The 18433-nt window shown below is 39.8% G+C and overlaps 1 protein-coding gene and 2 long non-coding RNA genes across 9 annotated transcripts in view; 2 read left to right on the plus strand and 1 right to left on the minus strand.

The window, feature by feature from the left end:
• Nucleotides 1-18433, plus strand: part of LOC124906269 (uncharacterized) — a 277601-nt gene that overhangs the window by 51048 nt on the left and 208120 nt on the right. The gene's annotated exons all lie outside the window — the stretch shown is intronic.
• The window catches only part of LSAMP (limbic system associated membrane protein), a 643114-nt gene that overhangs the window by 39775 nt on the left and 584906 nt on the right, over nt 1-18433 (minus strand). For all 7 annotated transcript variants that reach the window (NM_002338.5, XM_017006383.3, NM_001318915.2 and 4 more), the window contains 2 exons: nt 10335-10469; nt 310-430 (listed from right to left, as the gene is read on the minus strand). In NM_002338.5, the coding sequence (NP_002329.2) occupies nt 310-430; nt 10335-10469 (256 nt within the window). The remainder of the gene's footprint in view (nt 1-309; nt 431-10334; nt 10470-18433) is intronic.
• Nucleotides 424-5670, plus strand: LOC124909413 (uncharacterized). Its single transcript, XR_007096013.1, has 2 exons — nt 424-971; nt 4684-5670. It is a non-coding gene; the product is annotated as an uncharacterized LOC124909413 (long non-coding RNA).

Consider the following 18433-nt stretch of genomic DNA (forward strand, 5'->3'; position numbering starts at 1 on the left):
ATATTATCAGAATCAATGTCCATCAACAGAGAAAACTAGGGAATGGGTTTGAGTTTCTGTTATAGGCAAGAAAGACATGCAGGTGAAAGCTACCCATTGAACCGTTTTTATATTTTACCTGACTGCTTTTGGGCTTCAGCTTAAGAGCTACAGGCCCCAAAGAATTTGATAAGAGATACTAAAAAGGAAGAGTGTGAGAATATAGTTCTACATAATTACAACTGGCTTGGCTTTGGCTTTGTTGTGGGGATTCTGGTGTCCCCAGGCCCATGCAGTGGAGTCATGGGGGATGGTAGGTTTGGCACATACCTAGTGTCATCCCGGTACCACTCAAAGTCAGGTGCAGGCACTGCCGAGGCCTCACATTTGAGTGAAGCTTGTCGTCCTGTGGTGGCTTCATTGCTCTTGGATTCTGTGATAGTGGGAGGATCTGTAGGAAGGACAGGCACACAAGTTTACATGAGGGTCGGGGTGCTTAGAATTTCTATTCAGGAAGGAATGAAGAAGGACAATCTGATTAGAGAGAGGCAGGAAGGGAGCCATCTTAAAGCTCCATTTGTATGAATTATGTGATCAGCTCAATGGGGTTGATCACCAAAAAAGTAAATAAAAATAAGAGATAATTAATGAAAACATAGACTTGGTTTACTTAAATGAGACACTTAGCAGGGTTTTATGGAAATGGAATCTAGAATTTCTTTATCCCTCCTCCAGTAGGTCATGGTATTACAATTACAGATTATAAATATTTGTATAGTTTTTTCTTTTTATAAATGAAGCAATGATACCAAAGGATTTAGGAATCTCAACATATAATTTGACCATTTTTCTTTTTCTTCTTGTCATTATAGTTTGAGATGGCCTTGAGGAGTCTGATGAAAATAATAGCCAGCTAAAGCCTTTCCAACCCAAGTTTGGTCTGATATTGTTGCAGGATTCAGAAACAAACAAACAAACAAAACTAGGATTAGGTGACTACCTTCTTTTATTTTATGTGTTCCCTTATCACCACAACCCAGGTAAATTTAGCTTTTATGTGTGGGGGTACGGTTTAAAGTCTATCCTGGTGCATAGAAGACTTACTGGTATATCAGCCTTCTATTCTCTCTGGCAGTTGGGCCCTTGATTTTTATGCCCAGGAATGGGCCTACAAAACTATCACAGGCTTGAAATCAGCTGGGAAACACATTTGACGCTCTAATTTTCCATGACTCATTCAAACATTCATATGAGGATGGAAAGAGTGTTTGCATGTCCACTTGACTTTGTTAGGATTATAGACTCAAGCTCCTGAACTGGATGATGCTGTGTTTGTGCAGGTTATGGGCCTTCAAGGAGAGAAGGCCTTTCCTGTCCAAAGGTTGTTTGCCAGAAAATGGCAACTTGGCTATGTACACATGGGGAAAACAGACCCAGACACTCTGTTTAGACTCTGTAGAGGAAAAAGCTCATTTAGGAAAATTAGTAAAGTGAACGTTAGTGGGTAAATTCATTTAAACCCTGCCCTTCAGCACCTGGTCTATATTCCTTGTTTCTGATATTTTTTTTTTGTATTAAAAAACTATTGCCTAAGTTTTCTACCTATAGAAGACTGCAATTCTCTGAGTTTAAAAGAATGTACGAGAAAGCATCTGATTTGTCTGCAATTTCCTTCCTGATTTTATCTTCCCATAAGCTTAGACATTTTTAAATCACTGTCAGAGTTACAGCACATTTGAATAAACACTTGTATGTAAACAGGCGTGCTAAATGGAGTTTTGTTGTTGTACTGCTGTTGGTATTGTTGTTTTGCTTTAGACTTACTGCCTTATTTCCGTATAAGCACTAAATGGGAAGATGCTGTCATAAAACGAACCCTGGATTGGAAACTAGGAGTCCTGGGACTTAGTTTGAGTTTGGCTGTTTGGACTTCTCATCATACGTTTTCTTTCTGGGCCTTGGTTTTATTACCTATAAAATGAGGGAATCCTATTTTAATGATTTATAGCATCCTTTCCAACTGTAAACTATCCCAATTCTAGTTAAAACTGCTCATTCTTTTCAAATGAGTGGTTGGCATAATTATGATCCAAGTGTATTTTCAAACCCTTAACTAATTTAACTCTTAAATTGCTAACTTTCCAAATTATAACTCATTTATCTATTCCATGGCTTAAGAACCAGGATTAGCAGTCAAGAAGAGGAAATTTGAGGTCTGATTTTGACTCTACTTCTAACCAGAGCTGTGGTCTGGGAAAACATCTGTACCAGTTTGAGCCTTTTTCTTTTTTATCTTTTTAAAAAAGAAGCTAGCTTCTAAAATTGGTTATATAGATCATTAGAGCACATCAGTTCAAAGGATAATGCAATAGTTGGTAATAGTGGTGCTGTGGGGGAGATATTAATAAAGGGATGGGACACAGAATAGAGGTTCTGGGCTTGGATTTAAAATTTGGCAGACATGAGCTCAAATCCAGGCTCTGTTCCTCATTGTCCTTCCTCGTTTGAGAGTTTAATACTTTGCCAATAGTCACATTGCTTCCATTTCCTTATCTATAAAATGTTGGGGCTGGGCATGATGGCTCATGCCTCTAATCCTAGCACTTTGGGAGGCCCAAGTGGGTGGATCACTTGAGGTCAGGAGTTTGAGACCAGCCTGGCCAACACAGCAAAACCCCATCTCTACTAAAATACAAAAAACTAGCCGGGTGTGGTGGTGTGTACCTGTAGTCCCAGCTACTCGGGAACCTGCGGCACAAGAATTGCCTGAACCCAGGAGATGGAGGTTGCAGTGAGCCGAGATCGAGCCACTGCACTCCAGCCTGGGCAACACAGCAAGACCCTGTCTCAAAAATAAAAAAATGTTGGAACCCAAGGCAGGGAAGTGCATTTGAAGGCTGAGAGATATTAGGCTTCAGAACTGATGAGACTAGAAATGGATTTCATAAGGGTGAGGAAAAGAAGGAGTGTTGAAAAGGTAACACTGTGATTTCTGGCTTGGGCATCTGGGTAATGCCATCCACTGAGATAAGATTCATAAGTAAAGAAGTAAGACGACCAGCAGTAGAATACTCAATAAATATTAGTTTCCAGTCCTCATTTCTTCTCACTGTATTGTGTTCTTAAGCTGCCAGTGACTCCATAATCTGTAGCACATTGGCCCATTGATGTTGGCTGAAGATAATTTTGCTTATGAATTTTGTTTGTTCAATTTCCCAATTTGTAAAATAAATTTTAACTACTGTTTGTGAGTTTCTGGAGCCACATGGTTATAACTGCCAAATAGTGACTATTTACCCTTGGTCCCCTACCACTTTGGGACCCGGGGAAGGAAATAAATGATTTTTCTGATTGAAAAATTTGGGAAGAAGAAACTGGGCCTGTTTGGCTCATATCTTTCCTTTCTTCCTTTTGGGACCAAGCTTCTGGCCGGTAGCAGAGGTTCTCCTCTTTTCTCCATGTCAGAAGGCTTATTTGGGCTCTCTCCTTTCTGCTTTCATGTGGGCAGGCCCGTCCCACCCCAGGGTTGCCATGCATGACTGGGGAGGTAAGTCGGCCACACTAAGCTACTATCTCTAGCCACCTTGATCTCTAAAAATGGGAACATTTAGGTCTCCCTGACCACTCTTTTCCTTACTTCTCAATTTGTTTGGAACCTGAATTACTAAGCAGCAAGCTATTTATTAGCCCCTCAGAGACCCCAGCATGGGGAAGCTGGCAGCAAACTAGGATTGAGCACTTACAAGTGCATTAATCTAGTCAGTTACAAAGACCAACTACTTGCTTCTCTCTTTGAAAACTTAGGAATTTTCTTGTACCAGGGTAAATATATGAATACTGATAAATATACAAAGAGCTCATTGTTTCTAATATTTTTCAAATGACACCATGGTGCAAGTTTATTTTTTCATGGCTTATTGAAATGAACATTTCAAAATTCATTTGTAATGAATTCTGCATAGGTGAGGCTAAGAAAGACTATTACAAATCATACTGCAGCATGCTTTGTGTAGTTAAAATAATAGATGTCCTTATTCAAAATATGGTTATAATAAAAATGTGGCATCATAAAAATGCTGCACAGAGAGGTCCATTGTTATTCTTTATGTGACTTTGGAATAGCTTACAATTGTCAAAGGACTCTTCCAGTTTATATTAATTCAAAATTCCACGTTCTGAAAATATTAATAGGGCCTTTCTTCTTCTGACATCACCAATAACAAGACTCTTTCAATCAGAATAAATAGGGTAACAAAACAGAGGACTAGGAAATAAAATATCATTCATTTAATCTTACTAATATTGGGAATATTAGTATAAAAGAATAATATTCTGAATAGAAAATTTAATGTATAGTCATTTACTGCATGTCGGCACTCTAATAGGTTTTAGATATCCTCTTTATCCAAATAATTAGCCCTAGGAAGTAAATATGATTAACCCCATTTTATGAAAGAGAAGACAAGTTTATAGAGGGTTAGTAAGTTGTCCAAATTCACATGGTCAGTACTTGACAGACCATGGATTTAACCCCAGGTTTATCATGCTCTGAAACTCATGCTCTGAACCTCTCTGCTCTGGTATGTCTATTTGAATGAATTCTTTTGGAGAACAATGAATTGCTAATAGGAAAAAATACCATTCAGGGGAGGGAGCATGCTGGTAGATGGAAAGGTAAATGTTGCATATTTCTATTATTTACAGGGTACAAACAATGGCACAACATGCGGCGACACAGTGGATATAAACCTGTATTAGGAATCAGGAAATGCAGACTCAATCTCTGCTATTGCCACTTGGATTGTTACCATGGGACACAATGCTCCCTTGCAGCCCCTCACCTAGGAATATAGACAATGATGCCTGCCTGTCTATCTCACAGGTTTGAAGTAAAGATCAAATGAAATCAGTAATATGAGAGCACTTTTAACGCCTAAAGTGATTGCACATATTATTTTATAGTATTATTATTCACTTGGTATCATGGATAAAGAAAGGACTTTGGAGTTAGACCTGGGTTTGAGTTCCAAGTCTACCACTCACCAAAGCTGTTTGATTTTGTGTCACAGCATGCTTACACTCACTGAGCTTTATTTTTGTCCTCTCTACGTGGGGATGATATAGTTGGTCTCCCATGGGTAGTGTGCAGTGGTATAAAAAGCAGCAGAGGCAGAGGATGTAGGCCATAAGAAACACATTGTCTGTATAGAATTTAGAAATGATAATAAAACTGATTTAGAATTGCTTTTTTGTAAGTTACCATGTGCCAGCAATATTAAACAATGTATATTAAATAATGCCAGTGATAAAGTAAATACTTCTCACTGGGGCAGACCAGGCCCAATACACCTTCCAATTTGGTTGGTGATATGGTTTGGCTGTGTTCCCACCCAAAATCTCATCTCAAATTGTGATCTCCATAATCCCCACGTGTCAAAGAAAAGACCAGGTGGAGGTAATTGAATCATGGGGGCAGTTCCCCCGTGCTGTTCTCGTGATAGTGAATGAGTTCTCATGAGATCTGATGGTTTTATAAGAGTTTGGTAGTTCCTCCTGCACTCATTCCCTTTCCTGCCGCCTTGTGAAGAATGTGCCTTGTTTCCCCTTTGCTTTCTACCATGATTGTAAGTTTCCTGAGGCCTCCCCAGCCATGTGGAACTGTGAGTCAATTAAACCTCTTTCCTTTCTAAATTACCCAGTCTTGGGCAGTTCTTTACAGCAGTGTGAAAATGGATTAATATAGTTGGCCACTGTTGGTGTGATGATTACAGTGAATTGATATGAAATCTCTAGGAGAGTCTTGGTACTCTGAAGGTACTTAGAAAATTATGGTTCTTGTCCATATTGCAAAATTATAATGAAACATTGTAGTACTCTGGGTTGTTACTGAATATTTCCTCTGAAGACCTCATAATAGATTCATATTAGGATATGTCTTTACCATTACCTACCCACAGGCAAGAATAAACTAAAGATGAGCATGGAGACTGAATAGGTGTAACTATGAAAAGCTAGAGAAGCTGGCCAGTCTGGTTCCATATTAAACAGTTATTTTCCTGGCCAAGGCAGGCAGATCTCTTAAGGTCAAGAGTTTGAGATCAGCCTGGTCAACACAGTGAATCCATGTCTCTACTAAAAATACAAAAATTAGTCGGGTATGGTGGCACGCGCCTGTAATCCCAGCTACTTGGGAGGCTGAGGCATGAGAATTGCTTGAACCCAGGAGGCAGACGTTGCAGTTAGCTGAGATTGGGCCACCGCACTCCAGCCTGGGCAACAGGGTGAGACCCTGTCTCAAAAACAAACAAACAAAAAAGTTATTTTCCTAATGTTTTCTCATTAGGTGATTTTTGAATCAAATCACTGAAGATACCAGTTAAAATACACATACATTATCTGGAGGCAACAGGTGTCTCCAGTCCCAATTGGGTATTCTGTGGCAACCTCTGCTTCCTCTAAATACATGGCTATCAAATGTAAGGCAAGCTCACATTTAGAAATGTCAGCTCCCCAAGTGCCCCAGCATGGGTGTTGGTTGGGTTGATTAGCTCTAGACACCAGGGTGGAGGCAGAACTGAATTCAAAGAGACAGACAAATAAAGGGAAAAGGAGTTGTGAGAAGTGACAATGTGAACCTATTTGGAGAGAGACCTGTGGGAAAGTGGAAGGTGGGAATGTCAGCTGTTCAATGGGGCGGGGACAGGCTTGAGAGCTGGGAGCAGCTTTTAAGAGAAATTTCTCCAGGAATAGGAAAAGAGTCCAATATTGAAAGAGTCTAGATAAAATTAACAGTTTGTATTTGTTAAACATTTACTAGGTGCTAGATATTATTCTAGGTGTACTGGGCACTAGGATGAGTCAAGCTCAAAAGTAGTTACATTTAATGCACTGTGAACTGAAATTGAGGAACTGCACCTAGAACCTGCAATGAAAGAACAGAGTGTCCCTAGGACTGGTATCTGAAAGAAATTAACAGCTACATTGTGGGTAAGATACAGAAAGCTGAAAGTCCTGTCTATTGTCTAAATTATACTAAGCTTATTTAATTGAAGAGATTTTGAGCCAATATTTTAGCTTTCCGTAAATTCCAGGACCTCCTACCACTTAGAAAACAGATTTTGCATGTAAAAGTGGCTATGTGTAATGCTATATGCCTACTGCAGAGAAGTGCTATCCAAAAGAAGTAAAAAGGAGAGACCATAGAGTCCAGCTTGTGAGCTCAACAGGAGAGACTGTTATGTCTCTCTTCTTTACTGCTCTAGTCTCTCAGTGCCCTGCAACAAACATCTGTTGGCAACTGAGTAAATGAGTCAAGGAAGTGCTGATGGGAGAAAGTTAATAGCCCTGAGATTTTTTTTTTTTCTTGTAGTGGTACTCAGGGTCTGTTCATTACAATAATCTATTTGGCCAGTAGTTATCTCAACCATCCTGATCCCCTGACCTAATTCCAAAGCCTGTGTTTTGAAAAGGAAGCAGAATCAGTTTAAATAATGGATTTCATGGCCGGTAGGATTAGATGAAGTGACAGAGGTGATCCTGGGCATTTCTTTGCATGTAAGAGTGTTGCTAGGCAGACTTGGTTCCATAATTCAATCTGAGAGGCTTCATCTACTTAATACAACTATATTTAAGTTGGATTAATTGTTTGAACAGGATAACTCTGTGATGACTAGTTTTAATATAAACACAGCTCATGAGGTTTTGGTAAAAGGTGATTCCAAAGGAAATTGATAAAATATGTTTCAAGATTTGTGACCATATTATTTGCAAAATTTGGAGAAATGTTGAGGGCAGAGTTTATCTGTGAATTTTTCACCTACTTATTCAATACACATTTACTGAGCAATTTTTATAAGATCAGGCACATGCTAGGTCCTGCTTGTTAGGACATACTGGATATGTGACTAAACTCATTATAGTTTTCCATATAATTTGTTATGAGGTATCTTTTTAGAATCTCAAATTTCTGTCCATATTCTGTGGTTCACTCATCACTAGCAAAAGCTCACATTTTCATAAAAGTCTTTTCTTGAAAATTATAAGTATTTTCTTCTGCTTTAAATTACACTTTGGGGACAGTCAAGAAGAAGCAATGTCAGACTAATTGCACTAATAATAATAGGACCCAGGTGGCTAGCTTTGATCTTGGGAACCATCTGCAATCCAGACCACTTTGATGTTTCACACAATGGAAGCATAAATATTTTCTATGTATACCACGATTGGACTTTCAGAAATCTAATTAAGATGAAGGTCAATTAAGAGAAAATGAAACCTTAACTCCAAAAGTCAGGGAAGAGATGGAAGATGATGGCATGGTTGTGTGTACATAAAAGAAGCTAACCTAATTATAAACTTACACAAACAGCCAGAGAAGTTGCCTTTCATGTGACAAAAAGGTCCTAAAGCATTCTATAACATTGCGATCATTAATGTGTCTTTGAAACACACCCAACACTAGAAAATAATAGTAATAACTGGCATTTCAAAACTCTATTACTAAAAAATTGGAAGATAGCTAGGGATAGAAGCACTTCAGAACTCATGAAATGCAACCCCTTGCTTCTTGGAAATGAGTGCCATAAACTATAGCAGAGTCATTTGTTTCTATTAGATTCCTCTAGGTTTGATGTGAAAGAGATTTTGCTGCTTGTTTCAGAGGTCTGCAAGGCTGGAGAAGGTCACAGGTAATGGTGCATCCCAGCATAGGCTGCGTAAACTTTAGCGAGTTTCCTCAGCTCTCCAAGCCTCAGTTTCCATATTTCTAAAGTAAGACTAATGATGCTTATCTCATAGGTTTAAAATGGCTGTGGGGATTAAACAACAAATATAAATCTCTCTCTCTCTCTCTCTTTTTTATTTTGAGACAGAGTTTCACTCTTGTTGCCCATGCTGAAGTGCAGTGGCGCGATCTCGGCTCACTGCAACCTCCACCTTCTGGGTTCAAGTGATTCTTCTGCCTCAGCCTCCTGAGTAACTGGGACTACAGGCACCCGCCACCACACCCAGCTAATTTTTGTATTTTTAGTAGAGACAGGGTATCATCATGTTGGCCAGGCTTGTCTCGAACTCCTGACCTCAGGTGATCCGCCTGTCTCAGCCTCCCCAAGTGCTGGGATTACAGGGGTGAGCCACCATACCTGGCCAATATAAATCTCTTAACTCAATGCTGCACATAGTAGGTATGTGGAATTGCAAAGTCCTTATCTTCCTCCTGAGAGTGTGGGCTTTAGAATCAAATGGACCTGAGTCTGAATCCCTTTTCTTACATTTACTTTCTGTGTCACTTTGAATGAGCAGTTTTACCTCCTTGGGTTGTGGTTTTTCAAACTCTAAAATGATCTCAATTATATCTACCTTGCTGGGGTTGTTGAGTAGAAAAGAGAGAATTTATATAAAATCTCTGGCACATAGGAAGACATGAGATGACAGAAAGTACTCGTCATAGCCTAAAGGATACTTTCAAATATGGATTAAGATGTTTGTACATGTATGCCTGTGTGCCTATATGTGTGTATGTAGGATGTGTGTGCATTCAATGCATAGAAGAGAAGAACTGTCAAAGCTTCCCTTTGTCCCTGACACTAGCCACAGCTGTGTGATGTGGGAACTTGAATTTGAATGATGCAGAGTCAGTGCTAACTGAACAGGGTAAACGAATTCTCTTTATTCCTTTGCTGGGTGACACACATCATATAGATCCTCCCCCCGCCCACCCTCTTTTGAACTACATCTAAGAATCCTTTCATCCGAGAAGTTCAAAGTATGCCCACTTACCTATGCATCTTAGTGAAATCTTCCTTTCTAATGCCCATACTTTGGGACAAATAGGTAACTGAAATTAACTTATCAGACATTCCTGTTAGCCATCAGGGACACATGGTGTCTGACCAGAGTGGCTCTAATTTGTTCCCAAGGCCAATTATTTAAATAGCAGAGGATAAAATATAATCTTGAGGCATTCCCTCCTGACAAACAATGCATTAAGATGGACATTCCAGTTAAACCAGATACAAATTGTTGTTTTTTCTAAAGTAGTATGACCTTGATTTCCACGAAGACCAGCATAGTGACCGCCAGCAATGTTAGTGCTGTCTGATCATGTTTTCTTAATTCTTTAGTCTGAGTAGAAAAGGGTACTGTTAAATGTATTATGGATTACATTTAGAGTTGATTTACCAAATTCAAAGACCAAGTCCTGCCCTTGGATGTGTTCAATGTATAAATGTGCATTCCTGGCCAGAGGAGCATCTGCTTGAAATACAATGTTCTTTTGCTAATGGAATCTTTAGAGCTCACTGGAGGTAGAGGTGCACCCTGGGCACCTAGCACCTGCTGGCTCCTGCCGTACTCACAGTTCACAGTGACCTTGACTTGTTTGACATCCGCCGAGGAGACCTCGTTGGCAGCTTTGCACTCATATTTGCCTGACTGCTCCCTGGTGATGCCAAGGATCTCCAGATATTCTTCTTCTCCTTCAAATTCCCTTCCTGAAAAACAGAGGTTTTCATGATTCTTTTTTAAAGTCTGAAATAGGCAGTAGATCCTCTCATTATTCTTTTTAAAAGCCATAAATCCACATTTCTTTTCAATGATTTGAAAATGTACTTTGTCTGACATCAGATTCCACAGAAGCAGACCTCAAGACAAAAATCTTATGAAAGTGATTGAGTAGAAAATACTCTCAGGAAAAACCAGAAAGAAAATGGGAAAATGGAACTTGGAAGACAAAGAAGCCAAGCAAGGGTGCAATGCCAAGCTAAGTCCCACAGAGAGCAACTGTGGCTCAGTCTTTCAGGGAGGCCTGAGGACAGCTCATGTCCCACTTCAAAATTATTCTGATCATGAGGCTGGGAGCTGGGGTGTTCATAGGTGCATGCACTCACTCGTCGCTGGTTAAGGGTTTCGAACAAAGTGGGAGCTGGCGGGAGGTACATGCAAATCATAAAGTGCTCTGAGGGGATATAGCACCAACATCATCTATTACACCATGCTGCAAAGCACTCTGTTTTTTGTTGTTGCAAAGCACTCTTTACACCAACATTGTTATTAGACAAAGTGGCTTCCTTTTGAGAAACCACCACTCTTCTTCAGATTCTGTTAAATTCTGTTCACAAGGATTGTATGCTAAACTGTCTTGGCAGTTGTGATCTCTGTTCTATATCAAACTACATCATCCTAGAGGCTTTTAGGCCATGGGCCAGATCCATGAGAATGTGCTGCTGATGGTGTGTTTGTGATGGACTGTGTCATCTGGGGTTTGGGGTAGGGAGTTAAATATTATTGGCTTAAAAGTTGGGATTAGGTATAGGGAGGTCCTGTTTGGAAAGATCTACATAGTTGAGTGTGTGCATTTTAGTAAAGAAATCTCAACTTAAGAAACCTTGTTTAAATTCCCCTATGTGGAGAATAATTGATTAAACCATTTTCTTCCTGAAGAGATGGAGAGAGAAATAAGGAAGAAGTAGAGAGGGAGAAAAATGAAAAGAGGAAAAGAAGGTGATTGAGGAAGGAGAAGGTGAAAGAGGAAAGAGAAGAGGAAATGAGATTGGGTAGCAGGAAGAGCCTAGCCAGAGCTTGGCCAGAAAGGCCCAAGGACTTCAACTCTAGCTAAACTGAACCCCCTCACCCCAAAATTTCAAAACTCCACTGTTACACGAGTTAGGATAGAGCAGCTGGGGAGGGTGTTAAAGAACACAGTCCTGCAATCACGATGCTCCTGGTCATTCTCTACTAAATGGTACCAGTCATTAGCTCTGCTCAAATGCTATAAGCTGTTTTCCTTTTTTTGGGAATTCCTCAATGACCAAATCAACGTAACAGACAGTTAGCAAGGAGACAAATTTACTCTAAATATGTCAGCTAAACCTGTTAACTAGGCTTCCGACAGAACATGGGGCTTCTTTGCTAGCATTCTATAACACAACTCTCTGGATATTCCAAGCTTCAAGTCTTCTCTCAATTGTCAATATCACTAGTTTTGAGGAAACTGTACAATCTTGATTAAAAAAACAGGCAAGAGTAATATAACATTATTTGGTTCTGAAGTTCTGCACATTATCTTTATCTAGCACATGCTTCTACTGAGAATGTTTTAGAATTAGTCTATAGCATATAGTTAAATATTATTATTATTATTATTATTATTATTATTATTTTTTTTTTTTTTTTTTGAGATGGAGTCCCGCTCTTTAGCCTAGGCCGGATTGCAGTGGCACAATCTCGGCTCACTGCAAGCTCCGCCTCCCAGGTTCACGCCATTCTCCTGCCTCAGCCTCCCGAGTAGCTGGGACTACAGGCGCCCGCCACTGCGCCCGGCTAATTTTTTGTATTTTTAGTAGAGACGGGGTTTCACCGTGTTAGCCAAGATGGTCTCGATCTCCTAAATATTATTTTTAAGAGGTTAATTTTTTCCTGTCTACATTTTTCTCTTCTCCTTTGCCAACATTTAAAGCAAGTACTTAGATCTGATTTTACATGTTATAGAAGTAGAATGTAGTAGAGAAGAAAACAGTAATCTCAGAAAGGGTAACTGGCCACTTTTCTGGATTAATTGGGCAGGATTTAGGATTGAAGGGGTAAAAAGATCTTTCCTGCATATTGTTTCTATGCACTAAGTGTCATGCCAACTATTTGATGCTAAGACTCTTCTAGCTGAACATAAATACCCTGAAGGCTAATGGCAACTTTGACAATTAGTTTTTTATTTAGCAGGCAGAAATAGGTATAAGCTCATTGAAAACCTAGAATGCAGAGGTAGAATAGAAAGTAAGATAGCATTATTTATTTTGAGAATAATGGTAAATTTTAATGAGAAAATAGTTAATAATAATTTCAGAATGTTTTAGTATTTCTTCTCATACTGCATATCCCCCACCCATAATCTTAATCTTGGTTGGGGACAGAGCTGTCAGTAGAAGAAGGAGAGAACAAGGATAATCTTAGAGATGGTTGGCAACACTGAATTCTTTCCAATTCCCATGAAATACCTAGAAATGGTGGATTATGGGTCCCTACTTCGCTTTTTGAATTTATAAAACAAAAACAAAAACTAAACAGTTGCAGGAGAGAGAAAGATTATTTTTAGCTGCGCCAACTAAAGCCCTACCAATTCTGGAAGATGGCACCTATGAAAGGAAATAGTAAGATGAATGACAGAAAATAAAACAATATTTATTGTGTTTGGGGCCTGGGATTCTTACATACCAATATAAGTATTAGTAATCTCATTTGTTCCTGATAAGCAGATAATAAAACATATCCTTATCAGATAAACTTTCAATCTCATGTCTCTAGAATTTCCCCTAAACTACCTGAGGATAAAAGGAGAGTTTTCCCTTAAGTGACCCACATGGGAGGCAGAGACATCATTTTTGCTTCTCCTGTGATAGCTCTCCTCCTCTCTGATGGCAGCCTCTGTCTCCAGCACACAATGTGCATAGCTATCTCAATAAAGTGGGAGCAGGCTCAAGGTGCAAACCAACTATCGGCAGGGGAAACTACACCGTATTCCATCATCCAACCAATCTCATCCAACAATTCTCCTGCTCCTTTCTTTCCTTTGCCCCGGTGTGTCCGTCCTCATGAGAGCAAATTTTCTCCAGTTCTTTCAGTTCTGACTGGCTGCTCTCAACCCAAGGGTCCTGCCAATATTTCCTTTTATTCTCTCAACCTTAAGAAGACTCTCAAGCCAGAAACTGAATTTAAAACATTCAGAGACACCCCTGGGCCCTCCCTGTTGTCATGCTTCCTTTCCCTATTCCCTGGATCCTCCAGTTGAAACTCTTGCATTCCCTGGCCCTTCCTGATTAGTCTGTTCTAGTCACACCCAGGAGACTTTTCCCACAATGCATTATCTCTACTGCTTCACTTGAGAATTTCTTACCAATTCACAGAAATTTAACAGGAAATGGGAGCTTTTCTGTTGTTGGAAAGCCAAAGCTCCAGATTGTAAGTGTTGCAGGGACCATGCCTTACTCATAATATCCTCATGAACTAGCACAGAGTTTGGCTCAGATTAGTCACTCCATAAATGTTTGTTGAGTTAGCTTGCTACAGACCCAATGCTGGTGCTTCTCCAAAATTCATATGTTGAAACTTAAGCCCCAAAGTGATGACGGTATTTGGAAGTGGGGTCTTTGGAGGTGATTAGGTCATGAAGATGGAGCCTTCATGAATGAGATTAGTGCCCTTATAAAAGAAACTCCAGGCTGGGTATGGTGGCTTACGCCTGTAACCCTAGCACTTTGGGAGGCCGAGGTGGGCAGATCACTTGAGGTCAAGAGTTCAAAACCAGCCAGGCCAACATGGTGAAACCCCGTTTCTACTAAAAATACAAAAAAATTAGCAAGTGTGGTGGCATGTGCCTGTAATCCCAGCTATTTGGGAGGCTGAGGCAGCAGAATTGCTTCAACCTGGGAGGCGGAGGTTGCAGTGAACTGAGATCGAGCCACTGCACTCCAGCCTGGGTGACAGAGCAAGACTCCATCTCAAAAAAAAAAAAAAGAAAAGAAAACAGAAACTCCAGAGAGTTCCTTTGCCTCTTCTGCCACGTAAGGACACAGAGAAAAGAGAGCTGTCTCTGAATCAGGAAGTGGGCCCTTATCAGACAGTAAATTTGCTGGCACCCTGATCTTGGACTTCCCAAGCTCCAAAACTGTAAGAAATACATTTCCATTGTTTATAAGCTACCCAGTCTATGGTATTTTTGTTATAGTAACCTGAATGGACTGAGATAAAGCTGAACTGAATTAAGAAATTCAAAGAGATACTAGAGTCATTGTCAGCACTTCATGTAGTTTAAGAGAATAGAGCTAAGTATTGAAAAGTGGCTAAGTATTTCTGTCAGAGAAGTTGGCATAAAACTCCACTGCCTTTTAATGACCCTAATAGAGTTCTCTTTTACTGGGGAAGAAAGGGTGTGCTGCATACTCTGCTGTTGAAGGACTGCACAGGGGCATCTCTGGCCATGTCCTGAGGAATTATCTGCCATGTGGAGTTATCGTTTTGGAAACCAACAGAGCTCCCTGTGGACACAGGCACGATACAATCTTAGCAAGTGCCGTTTCTTGTTTTAAGGCATGGAATACACCAGCTGAATCTTGAGTCACAAAATTCTAAAATGCACTCAGATTCTCCTGTTCCTTTCTTTCCCTTTGCCCCCACGAGCCTGTCCCCAAGAGGGCAACTTTTCTCCACTTCCTTCAGTTCTCTCTGACTGGCTGCTCTCAACCCCAGGGTCCTACCAATAATGTCTTTTATTCTCTCAACCTTAAAAAGACTCTCAGGCCAGAAATGGACACAAAACCTATGGTTTAAGTTCTCTGGTAGACGAGTTCTATGGCCACAATTTGGGTCTTTCTCTTGTCCCTATCTATTATTTTTTGCCCTTACAGAAATGTTTACTTGAAATGCAAATTTCAGTATTTTGGTATTTTAAACATCTCAACCAATTTCCACAAGCCTGCTCACATCGCTGAGTGTTATGTTTATTCTGGGATCTAGTGTTTAGTTTAAATCTCCCTTTGCTTAATGTGTTTTTGTGTCTCCTGGCAATATTCAGCTACCAGGCTAAATAACTTCTCATCCTCCTCAGTGTATGCACCTTTTAAACTCTTGCACATAATTAGCATATCCCTTCTTAGTCACTGTTTACTCAAGTTGTACATATTAGTTCTTTTAATATTTCTTCATAAGTCAGAAAGAAGGGCCTAGAGCTAATGGCAAGAGAAAAGTGTTCTCTCCTGTGTTCCCCAATGTGGAGGCAAATCAGCCAGGAATAACTCCAATTAAAGCATGCCAGGTGCTGCCTTCTGAGTACAGTGCCTTCGGAGTTCCATGCTTTAGTGAGCCCTGTAGTTGCTATGCAAAATGTTGACTGATTTAGATTTATAAGGTCAACCAGGCATTTGTAAAAAGGAGCCATTTGAAATTAAATATATTTCCATGGTGCTGCTTTCTCTCATTCCCTTTCTTTCTCTCCTCCCTCTCCCTCCTTCCGTCCTCCCATCTCTCTCTCTCTCTCTCTCTCTCTCTCTCACACACACACACCCCACAAAAAGCTAGTTATTTACATATAAGATTTTACTGTTAAATGTGTGTGAGCAGCACACACATTTCCTCACCCTCAAATATTTGCTCACTAAGCAGAACAGGACTAGCCTCAAAAACTTCCCAGGACATGACAACCAGCCCCATATTTGGAATTAAAAATTTTTTTACAGACTATTGCTCTAATAATCATTATAGTACCTGTCTTTCCTTTTATTTGAGATACAAAGAATACAATTTAGGAAACTTGCTAAATTGGAGCACTTTGTGACTTTAAAAATATAGAATTCCAAGGAAAGTATGTTAGGAAATGAATGGATCATTTTTTTCACTGTTCTGAGAAGACTTTTATAAGTATAGCATCTCGGTAGATCAATCTTTCACAGATAGGAAGATGTGCTTGAAATGGGGTTGCTATTCCTTTTACTCACCTACGTTTGAATATTTACATGCAAGTGGCTGTAAACACACTAGCTATAAACACAAACATACATACAGTTTAATGAAAAGCAAAGAACTAGAATTTATCTTGCAAGGTGTATATGTGTGTATATTTGTGTTTGTGTGGGTCTGTGATTGGAAATGTGAGTGAAGTAAGTAAGCAAGAAAAGCAAGCTATGAACTTCTACCTAAGAAAATTAAAGGAAAAAAGATCACGAATCAGTGATGCCATTTGAAGTTTCCTGTGAGAACTTCAAATGCTGTACCATGTTTCTGTTCTTACAGTATGTTTCATGTTTTGCTTTTGTTTTCCCCTAAGGACATGCTCTCACCTATTCCTGTTTTTGCTTTCTTCCCTGCTTTCCTGCACATCACGTTCTACACAAAAATGCTAAGGAAAGGAAGAGAGAAAGAAACACAAGAAATCTAGAAAAGATGCCTGCAGTAGGGTTCTGTTTGTATTTCCAGCCATGTGTCTCTCCAGATTATTTGAGGTTTTTGCTTCTCCGCTTCACATTCCACCTGAGAGACCCCTTAGTGTTTGACAATGTTGCTGTCCAAAGGCTGAAACCACTTCTCATCCTCACTTTTCACCACTGGAAGGGAGGGGTGAAGAGTGGTAAAATGATCCCTGATTGAAAGAAGGCAGGGAAGGGGTAGATGCAGTCGTCAAAAGCAACAACCACAGGAGGATAAGGAGACACAGGGAAGAACAAGGTATTGAAGGGGATGAAGAAAACAAAAACAAAAACAAAAACGGAGAGATGTGATATAATGAGAACGATTTTAGGGAAGAGTTGGAGGAATGGAAATGAAAGGAGAGAGAGTTTTCTGAAGAAAGAGGCATATGACTGTTTAGACATTTGAGCTGCATGCAAGGGAAGGGGTGGGTTACTCTGCTATAGAAATGTTCCCTATTTGAATAATAAGACACAACAGGGGGTGGATTATGCAAATTGGCCCCATGCCTTCTGCAACCCCAAAGGATGTAGTTAGTACCCAGAAACCAGTGACAAGAACAATGCCAGGGAAGATTCACAACTGGCTTTGGCTCTATGAATGAGCATGGGCCAAATGAAAAAGAACATCCTGGGATTATTCTTCCTGGCATCCAGAGAGATCCAATTCATTATGATTTGCATTTTTGCTTTCACATATAAAAAATAAGCCAGCTGAAATAGTTTGAGCTGAGTTTCCAGCCTGAGGCTGCCATGCATGCATCCTTTTTTCAGTCCTGGGCCATGACATTCTTTTATTGTATTTATACTAAACCATTACCCCCTACTTGGTGTCAGTTTTTAGAAACTGCCCTGCCCTTCTAAATGTGATGCTTGAAGTCAGAATCCCCTATATTTAGTTCTCTGAAGGGGATTGTACTGAGAATAGCTATGGTTACATTGTAAGGCTTTACCACTGTAAAAACCACATTTGGTTTTGATCATCACTGTATCCCTTCCCTAGTGTGTAGCACAATGTCGGAACCTATTAAAAGTTTAAGAAATATTGTAGAGTGAGTGTTGTATGAGCTACCTCTTAATAAACACTTGCTAGGCACTGTGCTAAGTGACCCAGATATATTATCTTATTTAATTCACGATAGTTTTAAGATTGCTTACAGATGTGTAACACATAGGAACACAGGTTTAGAGTGGTCAAGAAACTTGCCCAAGCTTATAATGTTAGTAAGGAAGACATGAGCTTTGACCCAGGTCTGTGGACGTTTGGGACTCATGTTCCGAACTAAGCATGCCTACTTTTATCATTAGAATGCTGAAGGATGCTACAGTTGGCTGGATTCTTAGCTCTCAGAATCTGCTTTATTTCTTTCTTTCAAGTATAGAGTGGGAGATTGAGAATAAGACATGTGAGAAATTTCCAAAGCAATGCAGCTCAATTACTGATAAAGAAGGTAAAAAGACAGGCTTCATCTTTTATGAGGTTTGTCCACTTCACTTAACTTCCT

This window comes from Homo sapiens, chromosome 3 (genome assembly GCF_000001405.40).
Source record: "Homo sapiens chromosome 3, GRCh38.p14 Primary Assembly".
Lineage (NCBI taxonomy): Eukaryota > Metazoa > Chordata > Mammalia > Primates > Hominidae > Homo > Homo sapiens.